At 39.5% G+C, this 19,645-nt stretch overlaps 1 long non-coding RNA gene across 2 annotated transcripts in view; it reads right to left on the reverse strand.

Annotated features, from left to right (window-relative positions):
- CASC8 (cancer susceptibility 8) overlaps window positions 1-2,762 on the reverse strand; it is a 192,464-nt gene extending 189,702 nt beyond the window's left edge. For both annotated transcript variants that reach the window (NR_117100.1, NR_024393.1), the window contains exons 1-3: window positions 2,257-2,762; window positions 1,351-1,694; window positions 327-429 (exon numbers count right to left, since the gene is read on the reverse strand). This is a non-coding gene — a long non-coding RNA (cancer susceptibility 8). The remainder of the gene's footprint in view (window positions 1-326; window positions 430-1,350; window positions 1,695-2,256) is intronic.
- Window positions 2,763-19,645: the final 16,883 nt, after the last annotated feature.

Genomic DNA, 19,645 nt, shown 5'->3' on the forward strand with positions numbered 1-19,645 from the left:
ATGGAAATAATAATGCCTACTTCACCAGATCATTAGGAGAATTAAATAAGGTAATGTATTGGGTAACATTTTGTAATTGTGTGCTACTGTGTAAGTTAAAATTGTATGAAGGTTTAATAAAAGGAATTGTTCTTTAAGACTTCAAGGACTTTCTGTCAGAAGTTGAAACTAGAGGATTTACCAGGATGTTTCTGGCTCTATAGGGGTCATGTCCCTTTCCAAGATGCCTCAGTTGACCAGTAAACACATTCTTTTCAAGGCTTAATATTAAAATAGTATCAAATTCTGATCTAATCTGGATCAGAAGAGAAAATACTCCAACCTACCATTGTCAACCGCAACACTGGTTGTGTTTAATGGTGATGGAATTCTGTCACTTCCACCAACACTTTTTGAGCATTCGCTGCATGCGGGGCATTCTGGTGTATACTGATAAGAAACAACAACCAAAGATAATTAAGATTGACCTCACCCTCCGAGATGTTTACAGTTTACTTTGCTTCCCTAAGCTTCAGTTTTTCCCTCTGCCAAAACAGAAGCTCGGAAGAGATGTCTCCAAGACACTTTCTACCATGACCTTTTGAATTTCATAACTCTCTAATTCCAGAATTCAAAGAGTGACTGTTTTACCTCCCACTGAATGATTCCTCTGAGAAAAAAGCTCTCTGCTAGCTAAGCTAGCCAAGACACCATACCTGAAGATAATACCTAAACTTCTGTTTGTGTCCCAGGAATCCCAAATTGATGTCACACCAAAACAATGTCATTTATACAATTCATTATATGTCACTCATTAATACATTTGCTTAGTTGATTTTCATTAAAATCCTGCAGGGAGCATTATTACACTCATTTTTCAAAAGAGATAACTGAGTCGTAAAAGGATTAAATTATTTGCCCAGGTCACACGGAAAGAAATTAACGTGGCCACGGCATAAAACCAGATTTTCTGTTTTTAAACATATTTTTTTCGCTGACCTCCACCCTGTAAGAGCTTTTATTACCAAGCGATTGAGAAGCACAGGCTCAGGGACACTGAATTTGACCAAAGAAGCCAATAGAACTATTCCAAAAACCTATGGTTCCCCCTAAAGCATTAGAAAGACTCAGAACGGGTTAAGTGCTCCCTGGCTCATTCCCAACAGACACTACATTCACCTGTGCTTGCTCTGAAATAAATCAGTGTCCCTTTCTGCTGCTGCTGTTGTCTGGAAATAATGCAAATGCAATGGGCCTTTACTGACATTGTGCTTCCCTGGAAGGATACACATAATAAATTATCCCTTAATACTGTTAAAGAGACATTTTCCTCTTACTCAGGAGCTTTTGGGGTTGGACTGGGCTACTCACCCAGCAAGGAGGAGGACATGTGTCTTGTCACTGGCCCGGTTATTCATGTGGCCTCTCATTGCTCCTTGGCTCACTGCATTGCAAGATTCAAGGATGCACTTCCAGGCCTCCACATCAAGTCATAGGACTTGCCGGTAACCTAGATTGGTTTTCTCATTTGTAATTTGAATTTATTTTATGTTATGCATTTGTATGTTTATTTATTCGGATGCTCAGAAGCTGAAGATAACTAGTGCTCCTGGTCCATGCCATTCATCAATTGGAAGAATGCCAAGCTGTTTCCGCTGAGGACAGAAGGCATTGGTCTCCCCTGCAGGAAGCCACTGCTGCTCCTTAATTGTTTGCTAGAGGAAGAATCAAGGGTAAAATTTAAAGTAAATGGCTGGCCGAGTTGCACTAATTCATCAAAGCATGTTTCAAGTCAGTAGTCAGAGCATGCATCAGCCCCCGGCGCCACCAGCTTCTACGAGAGTGGAAAAGCCAGCAGACCTCCGAGCAGATGAAATCATTAGGAGGCATTCAGCAGGGCTTGAAAAGCAAAGAGAGAGGAGGCGGGGATTTCTCTGCATGCTCCCTTTGCCACATGGGAAACACCAGCTGTCTGTGACCTAGTTATCCAAGAAAGGAAACACGGAAGAGAACCCACAAAACTGTTTGCTACATGAGAACCCCATTCTCCAAAGACATGCTGGATGTTGAGAAAACAATTAGCATCTTCTAGTTTGACTCTATTTTTTTTTTTTTTTGCTTAGAGATTTTTGGTAGCAATAAAGACAAGCCCTATTACAGTAGCCTAAGAAAATGGAATTTTTAGGGATAGCCCATGGATAGGAAGTAAAAATCTTGGTTCATGAAAGATGGGAAGTAGGAACTGGAATGTTTTTGGAAAATCTATCAGCATCTCACCTCTTTCTCTTGCTCTCTCTCTCTCATTACATGGCCCTTTATTTGTGCAACAATTCATTTTCCTACTTCTCTATGAAGGTCTCTCTTCTTGCTTTTAAGCATGAAGCCACTCATTCATTCAGTAAATATGTATTTAATGCTAACAGGTGCTGGCACTGCCCAAGATGCCAGGGCTACAGCAATCAACAAAACAGACAAAATCCCTGCCCTCGTGAAATGTACACTGTGGTGAGGCAGGTGAGGCAGGCAGAAACTGAACAAGATAAATAAGTAAAAGATACAGTGTGCAAGAGGGCAGTGAGTGCTTGGAAGAAAAGATCAAGGGAGGAGAAGTGAAATACTGGCAAAGTAGTTGAAATCTTAAATAAAATGGTCATGGGAGACCCCACTGAGAAAGTCATTTCTGAGTGAAACCTGAAGGAAGTAAGAAGTTAGCATTGCAATTGTCTGGGGCAGAGCATGCTGAGGAGAGGGAATAGCAGGTGCAAAGGGCCTGGGGTGGTTCAAGGAGCTAGCAGAGAGGCCATTGAGGAAGGAGGTTAAGCAAGTGAGGGGGATTAGTTAGAGGTGAAGTCATAGACCTGGGGGCACAGATCACAAAGCGTTTTCTAGGTCATAGTGAGGACTTTGGCTTTTACTCTGAGTGAGATCAGAAGATCCCAAAAGGCCACCACAAGATGATATTCACGTGGTCCACCTAATCCAGTAGTCAGTCCTTATTGCTAACTTGCACACAGTCAAGCTCCCTTAGTCTCCAAAAGAGGAGATCCAAGCAACGATACTTCATGAGCAGTCGGCTTCGAGAGTCATCCTGAGTTTTCAAGGCTGACACAAATATCAGTCTAACTACGCAGTCCACCTGTGTAAATATTTGGGGAATAGTGGATGGTTAAGGAAGAGACCTAGTATGAGATAAAGTGTCCAGGCCCTGCACACATTTGGGTCTCACAGAATTAACTGGCAAATGCTAGTAAGAGTATCAGGACCTTAGGAAATAGAGATTCCTTTAGAAAACTCTAATTCCCAGAAAGATTTTCACATAAGACCTTCACACAAAGACAAAATTAGAATGTGTGTTCTCTCACCATCTCCTTATCCAGAGAGTCCTTAGATGTGGCAGAAGGACCCACAAGAGTTGTCAGAGGCAGTTGTGAGGGGTTGCCAGTCATGTTAGTATTAATAGATATCATGAGAAGTTAGACACGTTTTTGAATAAATTAGAATGAATTAAATATTAACCCAAAATGTCATTATGCTCACTCCCTACCCTCCCACTATGCTTTCCTGACAGAGAAAGAAAGGGTGGCACTGTGGCTGGAATACAGAGCCCACAGGACTTCAGCATGTCCTACACATAAACCTCCTCCTTTTTGTGACCCTTGGTGGAAAAAGTATGAGAGCCACGTATCTTAGAAATAACTGCCTTTCCTCCCTAGATGCCTGCCACAAAAACAGACATGTTCTAGAACTTTCTTCTCCCTAGTTCCAAGAACACTGAACTCATGGTAATGGCCAAACAATGATCTTTTTCTAAGGACAATGTCAGAATGCTTTACTGTGCCATTTTCATAATCAGACACAAGAAAGTTACCATCTGTAGTTCAGCCATAGCACTTCACATGAAAGAGGAAATGACTAAATATATATTTACATAGCTCTCATGAATATGCATTTTGTAAATGCACAAATATGTACAATTACTTGATAGACTGTTTTGGTTCCTATCTTTCGAATATTTAATACAACTGTAAATGTTTAATTCATATTTACTGAGTTGATTGAACAGTTTCTAAATTATCCCAAGCCTTGCTGGAAACAAGATTGAATGTTTCCAGCATATTTGCACACTAGGATTTGGCCAGGAGAATCCACACTAACTGGTTAAATGATGATTTTCTTAGAAAGCATATTGAATAAGCTGCTGGTGAAATCATCTTGCTGACCACAACATAGAGGGACAGCACCAGATCTAATTCCAACCATGACCTGCAGAGCCTCTCATGACTAGGCCCCCCTGATGCCTCTTTGCACCTCTGTCTGCACTGCCCCTCATTGCTAAGCCACAATCAACCCATGTTCCACTTTCAGTCCTCTGCACCAGCTGCTCCATGTGTCCAGAATGCTCTTCACATAGACATCAAGCCTTTGCTCTAATGTCACCTTTTCAATGAGGTCTATCTTAACCTCTGCATTTGAAATTGCAATCCCATCATCCCCCAGAACTCCTGATATCCCCTACACTCCCTTATACTTTTTTGTCTATAGCAACCACCCCTCACCACTTTATAACATTTATGCTTTGTAGTCTGTCTGTGTCCACTCACTAGAATTCAAATATCACAAAAGCAGGAGTCCACTTTTTTTTTCATTGAAAAACTCCAAATCCTAGAAGGAAGCTGGCATTTAATATGTGCTCAATAGACATTAGAGGAAGAAAAGAAGGAAGGAAGGAAAGAAGGGAGGGAGGGAGGGAGGGAGGGAGGAAGGAAGGAAGGAATGAAGGAAGGAAGGAAGGAAGAAAGGAAGGAAAGAAAGAAAGTCAAGAGACCTGGGCTCAAATCCAGCATGGGAATAAGTAGGGAGGAAAGAAGGGAAGTCAAGAGACCTGGGATCAAATCCAGCTTGGGCATGAGGCAAGACCAGAGCAGAGGAGATTGTCCTTGAGCTCAGGTGACGCCCATCTGGCCAACTCTCCACAAAGCTGGGTCACACTGTTTAGAGGACAGTTCTTGGCAGTAGTAGTAGTGCTGGTGGGGAGGGCTTTGTCATTATATTGTGTGCGTGTGGTGTGGGACTCTTCCTTAGTTCAGCTAAAGACAAGCTCCCTGTCACAAGGCCATGAAAGATTAGGCTCGCAGACAATTTGAAGGGTGAGAATAATGGGATTTATTGAGCAAAAGGAAAAATGGGGGCAGAACAGGGACGCAGCAGAGCCAGAGTCTTCCTAGTATGTGCTTCCTGCTTCACAATTGAATCCCAGCTACCACCCAGGAATAGGAAGGGCCAGGCTCTTCCCCACTGCAAATGGTGAGAACTTCTGTGGCTCCACCCCAGTGTGCACTCCTCCCAGTATGCAGGCTGGTTGGAGTTTCTCTGTGGACCCTTTCCCATCTGGCTGTCTCACATGCAAAATGGGAGTATTTGAATCTCCTTCTGAGAGTAATCTGAAAGTTAAATGAGGTAAAGCAAGTGAAAACATGCTCATGTATTAGGTCTAGGGAGGAAGCAAAAAGGAAGTAGAAGGATTCTCCTGAGTAGGGGATAATTCTTTTAGGGAGATGCTTACCCCAGAATTATTAATATTCAAGGAAAAGCCAGGAGCGACTATAAAACACAGCTCATCATTGCAGACCAAAGACAAAGCACCTCAAAATATGTCTACTACAGTAGGCATATTTTGCAGAAAAAAATTAGAGAAAACTACATCTCCTTGGAGTAAAGTGCCACAGGTATCCAATAACAGAAAATAGGAAAAGACATCATTGCAAACATAGGAAAATAGTAGATGAAGATGCAAGATCCTAAAATGTGTATTTTGGGCAGTTTGTGACAGATCAAGTCACATTTCTGACAGAGTGAGAATTAACCCAAAGCAAAATCAAGATATCATTTAAATGTAAAATGGAATGATAGACACAATTGAATAGGACAAGGAGATAATGTGAAAATAACAGAGAGGCAAAGGACAAAGAATAAAAATTAAAAGAAGGGGACTCACTCCAGAACCGAAACAAGATACCCCACTAATTCTCCTGTCTGCAGACATCACCAATATTCTGGTAAATAAAATTAATGATAATTACCAGAATGACACTATAGTTATCAATGAAGAGTGTTTGTAGCTTGTCATACGTGTGTGTGAATGTTCAAGGGGATGTTTAGTAAACGGTAAATAGTGTGGGTTCAGTTCTGCTCTGCTAATCCTATATGCCATAATTACAAGGTCTCAAATAAGTGCAAACCCTTCAATTATCAGGAAGAGATATCTGAGCCAAGTGGAACCAACTGACAGTAGCAATCAAAATTCTATCGCCCACAAGGGTGTGGGGGAAAGAAGTACTTTCAAAACTTTAGTGGCATTATAAACTGGCTAAAAATATATATACTTCTGGGAGGTAATTTTGCATACTTGCATATGCAAATATTCCTGTAAAAATGTGCCTAAAATTTATTCCTCTACTCTTCTCCATCCACCTCTGTAATACAACTTCTGGGAGTGCAGTCTACAGAAGTAATACAAAGATCCTGGGAAAACAATGTTATTTTGCTCATAGGTGTTTATGACCACATAATGTTTTATGGTAAAAAATAAAAAACAACATACATAATTATTGTGGGTATAGTTTAGGATTTCAAGATGCTTTTTTTCATTTTTATTAAACTTGGTGTGTAGACATATAATTTACACAGAGTTTTATACATTTTAAAAACGTAAATTTTTAGAAATGTATACAGTCATGTAACCATTGTCATCAAGGTATGTAACACTTGCCTGGAGTCCCAGCTACTGGGAAGAGTGAGGCAGGAGGAGCACGTGAGCCCGGGAGTTCCAGGCTGCAGTGCACTGTAATCATGCCTGTGAATAGCCACTGCACTCCAGCCTGGACAACATAATGAGACTTTATTTCTAAATTATTTTTTAATTTAAGAAAAGATATATAAAACTTGCATCATCTCGAAATTTCCTTCAAATAGTCAATACTCACTTCCTGCCCCAGGGAATCCGCTGGTATAGTTATTTCCCTATGGTTTTGCATTTTCTAGGTCACTATATAAATGAAATCATACAGTACACAAACTTTTGTGTATGCCTTTTTTCACCTAGCATGATGCATATGAGATTTATCCATGTTGTTATTGGGTAATATTCTACTGTATGGATGCAACAAAATTTGTTTATCTATTAACGATTCATTTTATTTTGATATAATTATTGATTGTCAGTGCATAATTATTAGTTATCTAAATTATAGATTTGAAAGATAGTACTGAGAGGTCTTGTATACCCTTCACCAAGGTTCCTTCTATGGTTCCACCTTATACAACTATCATACGATATCAAAATCAGGAATTGACAGAGGTACAGTGTGTGGGGGTGGGGGGACAGGCATGGGCATGCACAAATTTGCATGGGTGTGCGTGTGTAGTTCTATGTCATTTTATCACTTGTGTAGATTTCTGTAAGTGCTTCTGCAAGATACAGAAGTATTACCTCCCACAAAGATTATTATACTACTCCTTTATAGTTACACACCCCCATGCTTATTTCCGTTTGCTTTCTCCCAACAATAATGTAATTATTTTAGACATTTCCTGCTTTGATATACTTTTTTAACCCCATTAGACAGTGTTATATTTTTTTTCTTCAATCATCAAACATGATCTAGAAATATCAAGAGAAGAAAGTCTTCAGTATTTGCTGGTATTTTTACTCTTTCTGTTGTTCTTCCTTCCTTCCTGATGACCCAAGACTTCTTTTGTCATTTACTTTCTTTTTAGAGGAATTCTTTCTGAGCACCTACCTCCCTTGCTAGCAACATATTCCCTTAGTTTTACTTCATCGGAGAATATCTTTATTACACCTTCATCCTAGAAGGATATTGTCTCTGGATATAGACTAATTTTGGAAAGACATAGTTCTTGTCTTTCAGCACTTAAAAAATATGCCATTTTCTTTTGGCCTCCATGGTTTCTGATGAGAAGTGTGTTGTCATTTGTATAGTTTTTTCTCTGTAAATAAAATGTTGTTTCTAATTCACTGATTTCTTTTTTTTTTTTTTTTTTTTTTTTTTTTTGAGACGGAGTCTCGCTGTCGCCCAGGCTGGAGTGCAGTGGCGCAATCTCGGCTCACTGCAGGCTCCGCCCCCTGGGGTTCACGCCATTCTCCTGCCTCAGCCTCCGGAGTAGCTGGGACTACAGACGCCCGCCACCTCGCCCGGCTAATTTTTTTTTTTTGTATTTTTAGTAGAGACGGGGTTTCACCGTGTTAGCCAGGATGGTCTCGATCTCCTGACCTCGTGATCCGCCCGCCTTGGCCTCCCAAAGTGCTGGGATTACAGGCGTGAGCCACCGCGCCCGGCCCTAATTCACTGATTTCTAGAATTTTTGTCTTTAGTTTTTAAATGTTTTGCTATGGTGTGTCTTGGCTATCTCTTATATCTTGTACTATTGTACTTTGGATTTCTTTGGGCTTATCGTGTTCAGATTTCTTGGGTTTATCATGTTTGAGGTTCACTCAGTATCTTGAATCTGTAGGTTTATGTGTTTTGTCAAATTCAAGAAATGCAGCAATTATTTCTTTAAAGACATTTCAGCTATGCCTTCTTTCTCTTCTTCTGGGAATTCAACAATGTTAATATTCAGTCTTTTGTATTAGTCCCAAAGCTCTCTGAGGCTCTGTTCAATTCTTTTCCAATTTTTTTTCTGTTATTCAGATTTGAAAATTCTCCATTATTTTGTCTTCTGTTTCACTGATATTTTTTACTGTGTCCTTCCACTTTGTTATTGAGACTATCTAATGAGTTGTTTATTTCAGTTTATTGTATTTTTCAGCTCTAAAATTTTTATTCAGTTCTTTATATCTTCTTTGCCAATAATTTCTACTTTTTTCTCTTTTTTTCCAAACATGTTCATAATTTCTCACTGAGGCATTTTTGTAATGGCTGCTTTAAAATCATTGCCAGACAATTCTAGAATCTCTGTCATCAAGGTAATGGTGTTCTTTAATTATATTTTCTTATTCAAAATTTCTGATTTCTTATATAATAAGTGATTTTTTTAATGGAATCCTAGACATTTGGATTATGAAACTCTAGATTTCCTTTAAAGTCCTTGTTTTAGAGGGCTTCCTCTGATACCAAGCCAGAGGGAAAAGAATGGCACTATGTTGACACTATCAGGCGAAGGTGGATGTCCAGATACTCCACTCAGCCTCCGCTGAGACTCAGAAAGGGGGAGGATTCCTCATGACTGCTGGGCAGAAGTGGGAATTCAGGCCCCTGCCAGGCCTCTGCTGGTACCACTCTGGCTGGTAGTGGGGTGGATGGTGGTAGGGAGGTGAGGGGTGTGGGGGAGTTGGACTCCCTGCTGACCATCGAGGATGAAATTCTCAAGGTCCTACTTTACCTTTTCTGATGCCACCCAGGCAAGGGGGTTGGGCACCTCCTTACATCTTGGTGAGGGTGAAAGTCAAAGCTTCCTGCACAGCCCTGGCTGATAAGATGGAATGGGCTACTGTTTTTACAATGGTGTTTGGTAGTTGATGTCTGAAAATTTTTTTTTCTTGCTAGGCTGCCCTTTCCTGGTCCTCTGGCTGTAAGCAATCTTGTCTTGGGACTCTTTTCACTTGCATTCATTGACACTTCCAGGTTGCCAACTCCTCAAGAGGCCAGTCCTGGGATAGATGAGACCAAAAGAAAACCCAGGAATCCCACTGTCATGTCATACTCTGAGTCCTGAGGCCTCCAACAAGTTGCCTTCTTTTCTCCACCTTTCAATGTCTTCTCCTGCTTATATTATACATAATATCCAAAGTTTTTAGCTTTACTTATCCAAAAGAATGGGAAAAAATATCCATCCATTACATTTCAAAAGATGTTTATAAGACGATGTTGGAGCACAGAAAAAGAAAGTTATAATATTAAGGGAAGAAAAATGATATAAAATGTTCTGCATACTACATGCAAAATCGCATCTCTACTAAAAATACAAATAATTAGCTGGGCATGGTGGTGCACGTCTGTAATCCTAGCTACTCGGGAGGCTAAGAGATGAGAATTGCTTGAACCTGGGAGGTAGAGGTTGCAGTGAGCCAAGATAATGCCACTGCACTCCAGCCTGGGCGACAGACACGTGGTCTAAAAAAAAAAAAAAAAAAAAAAAAAATCTGCAAACTGTGGTTACTACTATGCATGTATTTTTTAAATCACAGATATGCAAGAAAAAACACTGAAAGAAAATATGACAGATGTTAATATGCACTGAGTTAGTGAAGCAGAAAGAGGGATAAAGCAATTCTCTTCTATTTCAGTGTTCTATATGATAGCAAGATTACATTAAACATATAAATTAGATTAACAAAAAGTATTCAGCCACTCAGACAAGAAAAGCTCTTAAAAATGAGACCTGCAAAGAGATCCATTTCAGGATGGCTATGCTGCTCATTCATAAAACTACATCGTAAACTTCACAGTTTATGAAGTATATAAAGGACAGGCATTGGGGTTGCTTTGTTGAACAAATCTAGCAGATATTTGAATGAGAAGAGTAATATAGTCAGTAGAAAAAAAGTGCAAGAAATAAGTAGAGAAAGAAGGGATATTTTCTGCTGAAGCATGTATTCTCTGGCACAAGCCCACAATAAATTGAAATTGACACCAACAGTTGGCTCAAAAATAATCAACTACAAATATGCTCAACACATAAGCATTCTCTTGGACAGAACCACAAAGCATGGTCTGCATTGTTCCTAACAACTCTTTAGAAGTCACCAGATGCAGTTTAAGCTACAATAACATAGTGAGGTACAAGTTAATTACATAGTTACCAGAAAGTCACAGACTTTTTTTTCAGTAATAATGTAGTAAATAAATACATGCTCACTCCATGGGAAATGGTGGCAATTATTAAGAGCACACATTCACACCATCATATTGCTTACTGATAACTGTGCAGTTAACCAATGGCAGTGTGCTAAAATGGATATCTGTGTTTCCCTGAGTTTTGCATGCTACATGCGATGCATGTGAAAACCAAGCATAGGGAATTTCAAGTATGAACTTCAGCGTGTGAGTGTTGTTTGTGGTCCAATCTCCGTCCCCAAACATCCCCAGAATAAGGCTTCTGCTTTTTAACAATGTATATCTATTTTAACCAATTGTCTAGCGTATAATTAATGCTCTATAAACTCTTTGTTAAATGCATTCACAGAAGGTAACAAAAGATTTTTGTGACACGAGTAAACCAAAAGGAACAAATAAACTTGAATTACTTTATGTTTGTGTTGGTGTTTCAGAAAAGAGCTTTGGCTTTGAATTCAGAAGTTCCTAATCTGAATACCAGGTCTACCAATTATTAATTAAGGAATATCAAATGAATTACTTGCAGTATTTGAATTTCAGATTTCTCAATTATAACAAGGATGTAAAGAGGTTTATTATGTGGCTCAAATAAGAAAATGCATGTAAAAACACTTGTAAACCAAACAAGTACTATACACACAGGAAACAATGTTATTATGGGGCTACTATTTAAACAGTAGCAAATTCAGGCCTATCTTCAAAGAATTATACGTTATCTAAGGACCTCTCACTGATAGTAAGAAAGAGGTGGTAAGAGAGTCAGCACAATTATTATTCATAAGGGCAAGGGAATGGCCTAAGAGGAATCCATAATGAGTGATCTGCAGTGTAAATAATCCGCAAATTTTGGACACAAAGGCTCAAATCTAGAACCAAATCTATGGCAGGAAGTTTCTAAAAATATAAACGCTGTGGGATTTTTGTGAAGTTACGTACCCCTATGACATATAAATGAGCTCAAATAATTTATTTTTCTCATTTCAATTGACTCATATGGCATGAATAACGCACTCTCCAGTAATAAGGATAGAGGAAGGATAAACAACTGTGGAAATTTATTGCCTCCAAGCCAAAACTGTGCATCTCTCCAAAGCTCTGCTTTGTACTATCAGAAATAACTCTGGTTCTTAGGTTAATGGCGTTCAGGAAAAACACATCACATGTAGAACAGCTTTTACAAGCTAGAAAAGAAGTCAACAACTAGATTTTTCTTATTTATTACAATTCATCAATAGAATAAAACCTTTCTATTCAATATGAATGGATTCAAAGTTGGTTGTTTAATTGGAAAATTTGTTGCAATGGGTTAACATCTATTTAGCTGAAATATATGTAAATGTTTATGTCATCACAAATCTTTTCTTTTAAGGCTCAGATCTTCTCTTTGATGATAGGTTTGGTCATTGACATTCAAATCATGTTACTTCTGTAAGCCATAACTCCTGGTTTTTCACTGGAGGGGAGTGATAACTTAAAACACTTGGAAAGAAATCTGACTAAGACCCTAGTAGATTCCTATGAGGTTTTCCTCGAACTTTTACAGTTGTCTTCCTCACACCTAATTCAACATTAATTTTGTTAGTAAGTTGTCTTTATCAAGACTGTGCGGAGCATTTATCTTATACTTCATCGTCTCTCCTTTTGCACTCATATTTCATCAGTTTGTATAATAATTAAGTGCTATAACTACAAGATATAGTACAGCTGAGACAAACAAATGTATGTACAAATAAAACCAAAATACAGAATAAGTCCTGGGTCCCTACTTTTCCTTTTCTGACAAACACAGACATTCAGAAAAAGAAGAGAGCATTTCTTAAACCAAGGTAAACTGAAGCGAATTTTTAAAGTTCTTTCCATTTCCACTACCCTCTGCAAAAATGTTTGCTATATGCTTATTGTCACCATCAAAGATGAAGTCACTCTCTCTCTCCCCTGAAAAATACAGAATTTTATTTTGTTTACCTGAAAGCTGTGTGATATGACTTTTAATTGAAAGTATTTATTGTCTATAATAAGATATGTGTTACATTGGTAGCTGGTCTTTTTGTAAGTAAACTTTTCTTATTTTAAAACAGCTTCATATTTGCAGAAAAATCTCAACAACAGTACAGAATACTCATATACCCCCCATCAGGTTTCCCTTATAGTTAACAGTTGCTGGCTTTTTGCTGTAACTGTAAAGCATTTAATCTGGAACAAAATAATCTCCCATTTTATAGAAGTCATCAAAATGTACATTCTTTCTTTTGTAAAGTTATTATGCCATTTCTGTTCCTCACTGCTAATCCAAAACTACAGCTACCAAAGGCATGTACACTTTTATTGTGTTGACCACCCAGGAACCCTTCCTTCAAATGGCACACAAGCACCTAATTTCCAGTTTGGGGAACAACTCCACCCCAACTCACAGTTTTTGGCATTCAGGTGGGGTGATTCCAGGGGTAGACATGGGGCTCAGGCCTGGCCAATCAGAGCACCCCTCACTCCAGCCACAGTAATCAACGAGTGGCTGGGGGAGATTGTTGCCACCTTGTGGGAGCAGCCTTGGATTATCTCAGTTTACACCTATTGTCCTGAGAGGATCATTAATGGATTTTCCTTTCACCTTCAAAAGCCAAAAATGATACAGTCCCTCCAGTGAAAGTCCTGAGCTATTCTATGCATGACTTTAGCTGCCTCCATAATTATATGAACCAATAAATACCATAGAAGAAAGGGGAGAATATTGGCTTAAAGTCATTTGACAAGCAAAGAGTGTCACTTGCCCTGTTCCTCATCACAAGTTCATGGTTGCAATCACCAAATCTTTCTATTTGGCCACTTAAAGTTCATACACGCATAATCTGCACTGGCAATACTGGAACATTTCCTTAGAAGAAGCACATGCAAAGACCTGGAAGCAAGAGAGGGGAGAATATGTTTCCAAAATGAAAGGGAGATCAAGAAGGAGAGAGATCAAGTGCAGAGGGAGGTGAGTGTGGGAGGGAAGATATCAGGCAGGGAGGGTAAGCAGGGGGCCATGTTGCGCAGGCTGCGTAGAAGCTTGTGTGTTATTCTAAGGACAATAAGGAACCAGGAAAGGATTCAAGACAGAAGGAGGGTCAAGACCATATGCTCATTTTGGAACAGTCTCTCTGAATGCTTAGAGAGAGTGAAAGGCAGATCTGAAGACAGGAAGCTGCCTCAGGAAGCAATGATCTTGAGTTGGGGCTATGATAGTGGCAAGGGTAAGAAATGTATGTATTAAAGATATAGCCAGGCAATTCTCTCGGGTCAAATTTGGAGTCTCATTAACGGAAATTCCTGTCTAACCCTGGTCTCCTTTCCCTTTGCAGACCAAACCATTAGGGCCCAGAATACAGCCCTGCACAAATAAATACTTGTTCAATTAATGAGTCTCAATATATTTGTTCAATTAATGAGTCTCAATAGTTTGATAGTTGAATACAATTAGAGATGCAAGCCACCTCCAAATTCTCTAGCAAAGAAATTTTGTCTTGGTTCCTAGGTTTTACGCATTCATGGGGGAAGTAATCATGCATTATCTACCTCAATATGGCAGCCTCAATTGCTTGAGCAAAAGCTGAAGTCAAACCTCTAAGATTTTCAAATACTTTGTTAAGTGTAACTATTCATATTCTTTTGCCCTTTAAACAGTAGAGAATCAGTAAAGTATTTTCTTGGTTCCGTTGATATTAGATAGAACTATTGACTTTCCTCCTCTTTTATGGCACCATAAAACATGTTGTACTGAAATAAAGGTTTACTTTGCAACTGAGAATTCATAGGCAAGGCTTCCTGCTGACTCCACAGAACCCAGGACAAGGGTGTCACTGTTTTTGTTGATGGAGGTATTCTTAGAACCAATTAACTACTCTTTCCAGAGGAACCTTTGGATCATAATTAGCTTTATGTGTGTGTGCACGCACACATGTTCTGGAGAAAAGAGAGAAAGTGTACTACATATAAATGAGTAATTAGGTTTCCGCTAAATTAAAAATTTTCCCAAGTCATGGTCTGCACTTAGATGATCTGTTTCTATTCTGCTAATTTCTGCTCAGAGCAATCACTGCCCATGAAACCATCACGTTTTCTTATTCCACAGAGGTCATAGAAGTTCTTTTCTTCTAATGGAGAGAGAAACCCTTGCCTATTTTCCCCTGTGCCTGCAAAGGTCAGAGAGATGATGAAGTAATGCTCCAAAAAGATGTTTAGCCAAAGGAACTTTAGCTCAAGGCTTTGACTTTTACCCCTTAGACTAAAAGGCCACAATTTTGAGTTTCAGTGTCATGAGATCATGAAAGAGGAAGGGACCTCTGTGTTCAGCTAGGCAGAGAGGTAACAAGAAAAAGAGATGTGCTCTAGAATTAGGCTTGAGTTCTGTCGGGGGCACCTCCTGGCTGTGAGGCCTTGGGAAAGATGCTCTGTCTCATTTGAGCCTCATTTTCCACATCTGTAAATTGGGGGCAGCAAATACTGAGGGTGACATCATCTTCACTGCATTGTAGTGAGGGTCACATGAGATAGTGGCAAGAAAATGCACCTGTGAACTGTAAATAACTAAAGGAATGCATATTGTTTTTTGCTATCTAGTTTGCCCCTTTTTCCAAAATGGAAACAGAGGTGCAGGACTTACCCAGAGCAGCAGCCTGGTGACCATCTAGAGTCCCAGCTCCCAATTCAGAGCACCTTCACCTCTGCACATGACCTTCCAGTTATTGACACTCCTCCAGCAGGGCTATGTTTACCTAATGTGTCAAACTCAATCCTGAGGACAGCCACTCTGACCAGTAGTACAGCAGTTAACATTTAGATGGGAAATCTTAGTGTGTTTGGACTTATCATATCTTAGTTTAAACCAAATAATTCAACCAAAGCATAAGAGTATTCCTTTTTCTGAGCCATCTCATTCTCAGAATCACAATTATTGATGTCACCCAAAGTGAACACCTAGCTCTAATTTATCTGAGGCCTTCCCTTTTTGAACACGGAAAGTTCCTCATGCCAGGAACTTCCTCAGTCCCAAGAAAACTGAGGCAGTCATCCATCCCAAATGTCCATATTTCTCTGAATGTCTACAATATGCCAGGCACTGTTCTGAGCTCTTTATTTACAATGTTCTACTTATTCATTTGGAAATATAGATGAGGTAGGGTTATTTCCAGTTTATGAGGTGAGGAAACTCAGTTCCGAGTGATCCAATAACTTGCCCAAGTCACACAGCCAATGTGCATTGGAGCCAGGACCCATGGCATTGTGAATCCAGAACTGTGTCATGTAACACTGACTCCCCGAATGCCCTGAACATTCTCAGGAATTGTGGGTGGGTGGTGTAAACTGCTTCACACCAGCTTATTTTATAGTCTACCTGCCAGTTGTAATGGTTCTGCATTGATTGGAAAGTGGTTCTAGTATTCAAACTTGGGAGTGTGATAGTGAAAAGACCACTAAGAAAATGCATATAAAGCCCTCAATTCAAGTTCCTACCACATTGTTTCTTGACTTTACATCTTGAAGTCTTTTTTTCCTTATCATATGAAATGAAAATAATAAAACCTACATCAAAGTAATACCTTGAGACTCAAAGTGTTTAGAAAACATTTTGTAAGCTGAGAAACCCAATATATTAGCAAAGTGGGGCTTAATTTATTTACATTAGGTTAATTATGTTATTGAGGATTTATATGGTGTCACTGTACAAGCTTAATGGCTCTGTTAGCCTCTAATTTTTTTGGTTTATTTCCCAAAATTTACTTTCACAACCAGTATCTTCCAGACACCGTATAGCAGACATCTGTGGTTGCCTGCACAGCAGGAATTCTTCCATTTCTCTTAATGAGATCCTGATTTCCACGTGGGAACATCATCCTGTCCCCATCCTTATTCTCAAACATGAGCTTTAGCCAATCAGCACATGAAACAATCAGTGTCAGTGAGACATTTGTGAGAACTTCTGCGAAACACAAGTTCTCGTCATCTTCCATGGGCAAATTTATCTTCCCCACTGGATGTGAACAATAATAGTTAAAGCCACTAAAGCTATCAACAGTAGACTTAAAAAGAGTTTTGAGTGAGGGAGAGAAGACGAATCCTCACTTCATGAAAGCAGAATTAAAACCAGAAAGAGAAATGGATTTTTTTTATATCAATTTAGCCTTAAATCAAGTCACATACAAATTCCAGCTCTGCACTTTCAAGACTGAGTGAGCTTGGGTGTGGCCATTAACTTCTCTGAGCTTTTGTTTCCTCATCTGTAAAATAGGGATCAATCACTTACTCCTTATAGTGCCGTGGTGAGTGTTGAACTGGATAACAATTGTCAAGTTGCCTACCACAAGGCCTGGCAAATAAGTGCTCAGTGAGTGAGGGCTTTCCCTCGCTGCCCTGCCCCTAGTGGGGAAGACTGGGCAGTGACTATATAAAAAATGATTTGAAAATAAGATTCTTGTTTGGAGTTTAATAAGACTCCAAGAACTTTGCTCATGTTACTGTGTGTGATACAATAAAGGGAAAGGAGGCTAAATTATTTCTTATTGTCTCATTTTCATATCTGTTTACATAATTCAATTTGCATTTTAATTTGCACATTAATTCACTTTCCAAGATGAACCCTGGACCAAATCCTGATGCAGTATTTTTTGTGTGTGTGCCTGTGTATGGGATATAAGGTATGGCTTTGGGAAGAGGACAACCATGACCCTGATAAACAACTGGCTAGAAGACACAATTCCTCCAGTTCCAGCCATCCTTAACCTCCTCATTCCCAGTCTCTTTGACCATATACTAAAGCTGTGCTCACTCAGTCTAGGATTGTCCCATATTAACATAAATCTGAAAGAGAGAACAATCTTTATTATTAGAGGAGAGTAGGTCTTCTCTGGCTGTTCAGCTGTATCTTGGAAACCCAAAGATGCAGCTGGCCACTCTTCAACAACAGCAGCAGATAAGGAAGTAACATGTCTGCTCCATCTGAACACCATCCAAAAGGAAATCCTCTCCAAGCCTACAGGAAACTCCAAGACTACACCTGGCAAGAGAACACAGGGAATAAGAAGCGGCTAGGTTTAAAGGCAGGAGCATAGAAATCAAGAATTTTCAGCCACCTCTGCTTCAACTATGTATTTCCCACTCTGGGAACCAGGGTTCCCACCTGTAAAATGGGCAGTCAGAAATAATGAAGAGTAAGAAACAATCTCAACATCAGGTCAGCTACATCCAGCACAATCCTGGAGTGTGAGCACATCCTAGGGTATGTGAGCACATACCCTAGACCTATAGGATAATGGATGGAGTGAACCCTGCAGGAGTACAATAAGTACGCCAGTGCTCCTTCAAAAACTTCCTTCCATTTCACAGGATTCTTTTCTTCCCAGCAAAATCCTTATCATCTCTGAGGCCCAGCTCAAATGCTGTCTCTTCTGTGATGTTTTTGCAACACTCATTGCCCAAGTAATCCCAGTTATTAAAGCTCTTAACCCCACAATGCCCTGTCCACAGACTCTGAAAGATGCTGATGCATTGTTGTGTCCCATGTCTGTTTCCCCAGCAGGTTGTGAGTTCTCAGTTGAATTCAGTTTCTTGTTGCAGAGTCTTTATCAAACCACAGAAGAATCAAAGTTGAACAACATGGAGTATCTACACCGGAGCAGCCCACAGTTCAGGGATGGACACAGAACAAGAGAGATTCATTACAGACATAAAGCACAGAGATGTTGGGGTTTTCTCTGTTGGGAAGAATAAGAGGTCCAGAAAAGCTTCCCAAAGTGATGGCACCTCAAGGGTCAGGACCTCACCTTATTAATCTCCATGACCCAGCATCTACTACAGCATCTGTCACAACTGGGCTCTGAGAATGTTGGCTAAATAAATGAATGAATGATATCAATACACAGGGTTTTTCCCCATTTTCTGAATATTCTGGACTAGGGGATATCTCAGAACAGTACTTAGCACCTAGTGTGTGCTCAATAAATTCTTGTTAAACCACTAAAAATTGCTGGACAGCTGAACTGAAAATTACTCACAGCCCCATTCAACTGCATCAGCCATGAAAATCAACTCAGAATTTGCAAATCTATGCTGGCATTTAGCACTTAAGATGTAAATACAGAGTGTCAGCCATGTGGCTAAGATCAGCTTTAATTCAGTGTTCATCTCTGAAATTCATTAATGATTAAATACTTTTTTCCTTTGCTCTCTATGGGAGTTGAAACAAGTATCATGTATCCAAAGACCAGGGTTCAGTTTGGCCCAACATTAATTCACTTAATGTTTCAACAAAAATTTATTGACCATCTACTAAGTGCTGAGTGCTAGAATCCATTGACTACCTACTAATGAAGTGCTAGATTTTAACACAGGGACATCTGTGGTAAAACAGTAAATTCTCTAACCTCATCTAGAGGGGTTGAAGGTTCTGCCTTTGCCTACCTTCTATAGTCAGAGACTACTGGTATTTCAATCCATAAGTATTAACTGAAAGTCACTCTAGTTCTCTGCACATGTGAAGCAGAGCATATTATTATTTTGTCCTTGTTGCTCTATCTAAATGTCATTCCCTCTTCTCCATCCCATCACTTATTTTGTCCTTGGAATTCCTTCTGGATTTCCTCAAGATTATATAGAAGCTCCATGAAGGCAGGACACTGTCTGACTCATTGGCTCCTGAGTCCCTTGAACGTAGTGCTGAGCTTGGCATATAGCAAGGGCTCAATAAATGTTTATTGAATGAATATATGACATGATGAATGATTAGATGAAAACGTCTCCTTTTCCAGGAAGTTTTCCCTGTTTCTAAAAAGGAGTTA

This window comes from Homo sapiens, chromosome 8, assembly GCF_000001405.40.
Source record: "Homo sapiens chromosome 8, GRCh38.p14 Primary Assembly".
Taxonomy (NCBI): Eukaryota; Metazoa; Chordata; class Mammalia; order Primates; family Hominidae; genus Homo; species Homo sapiens.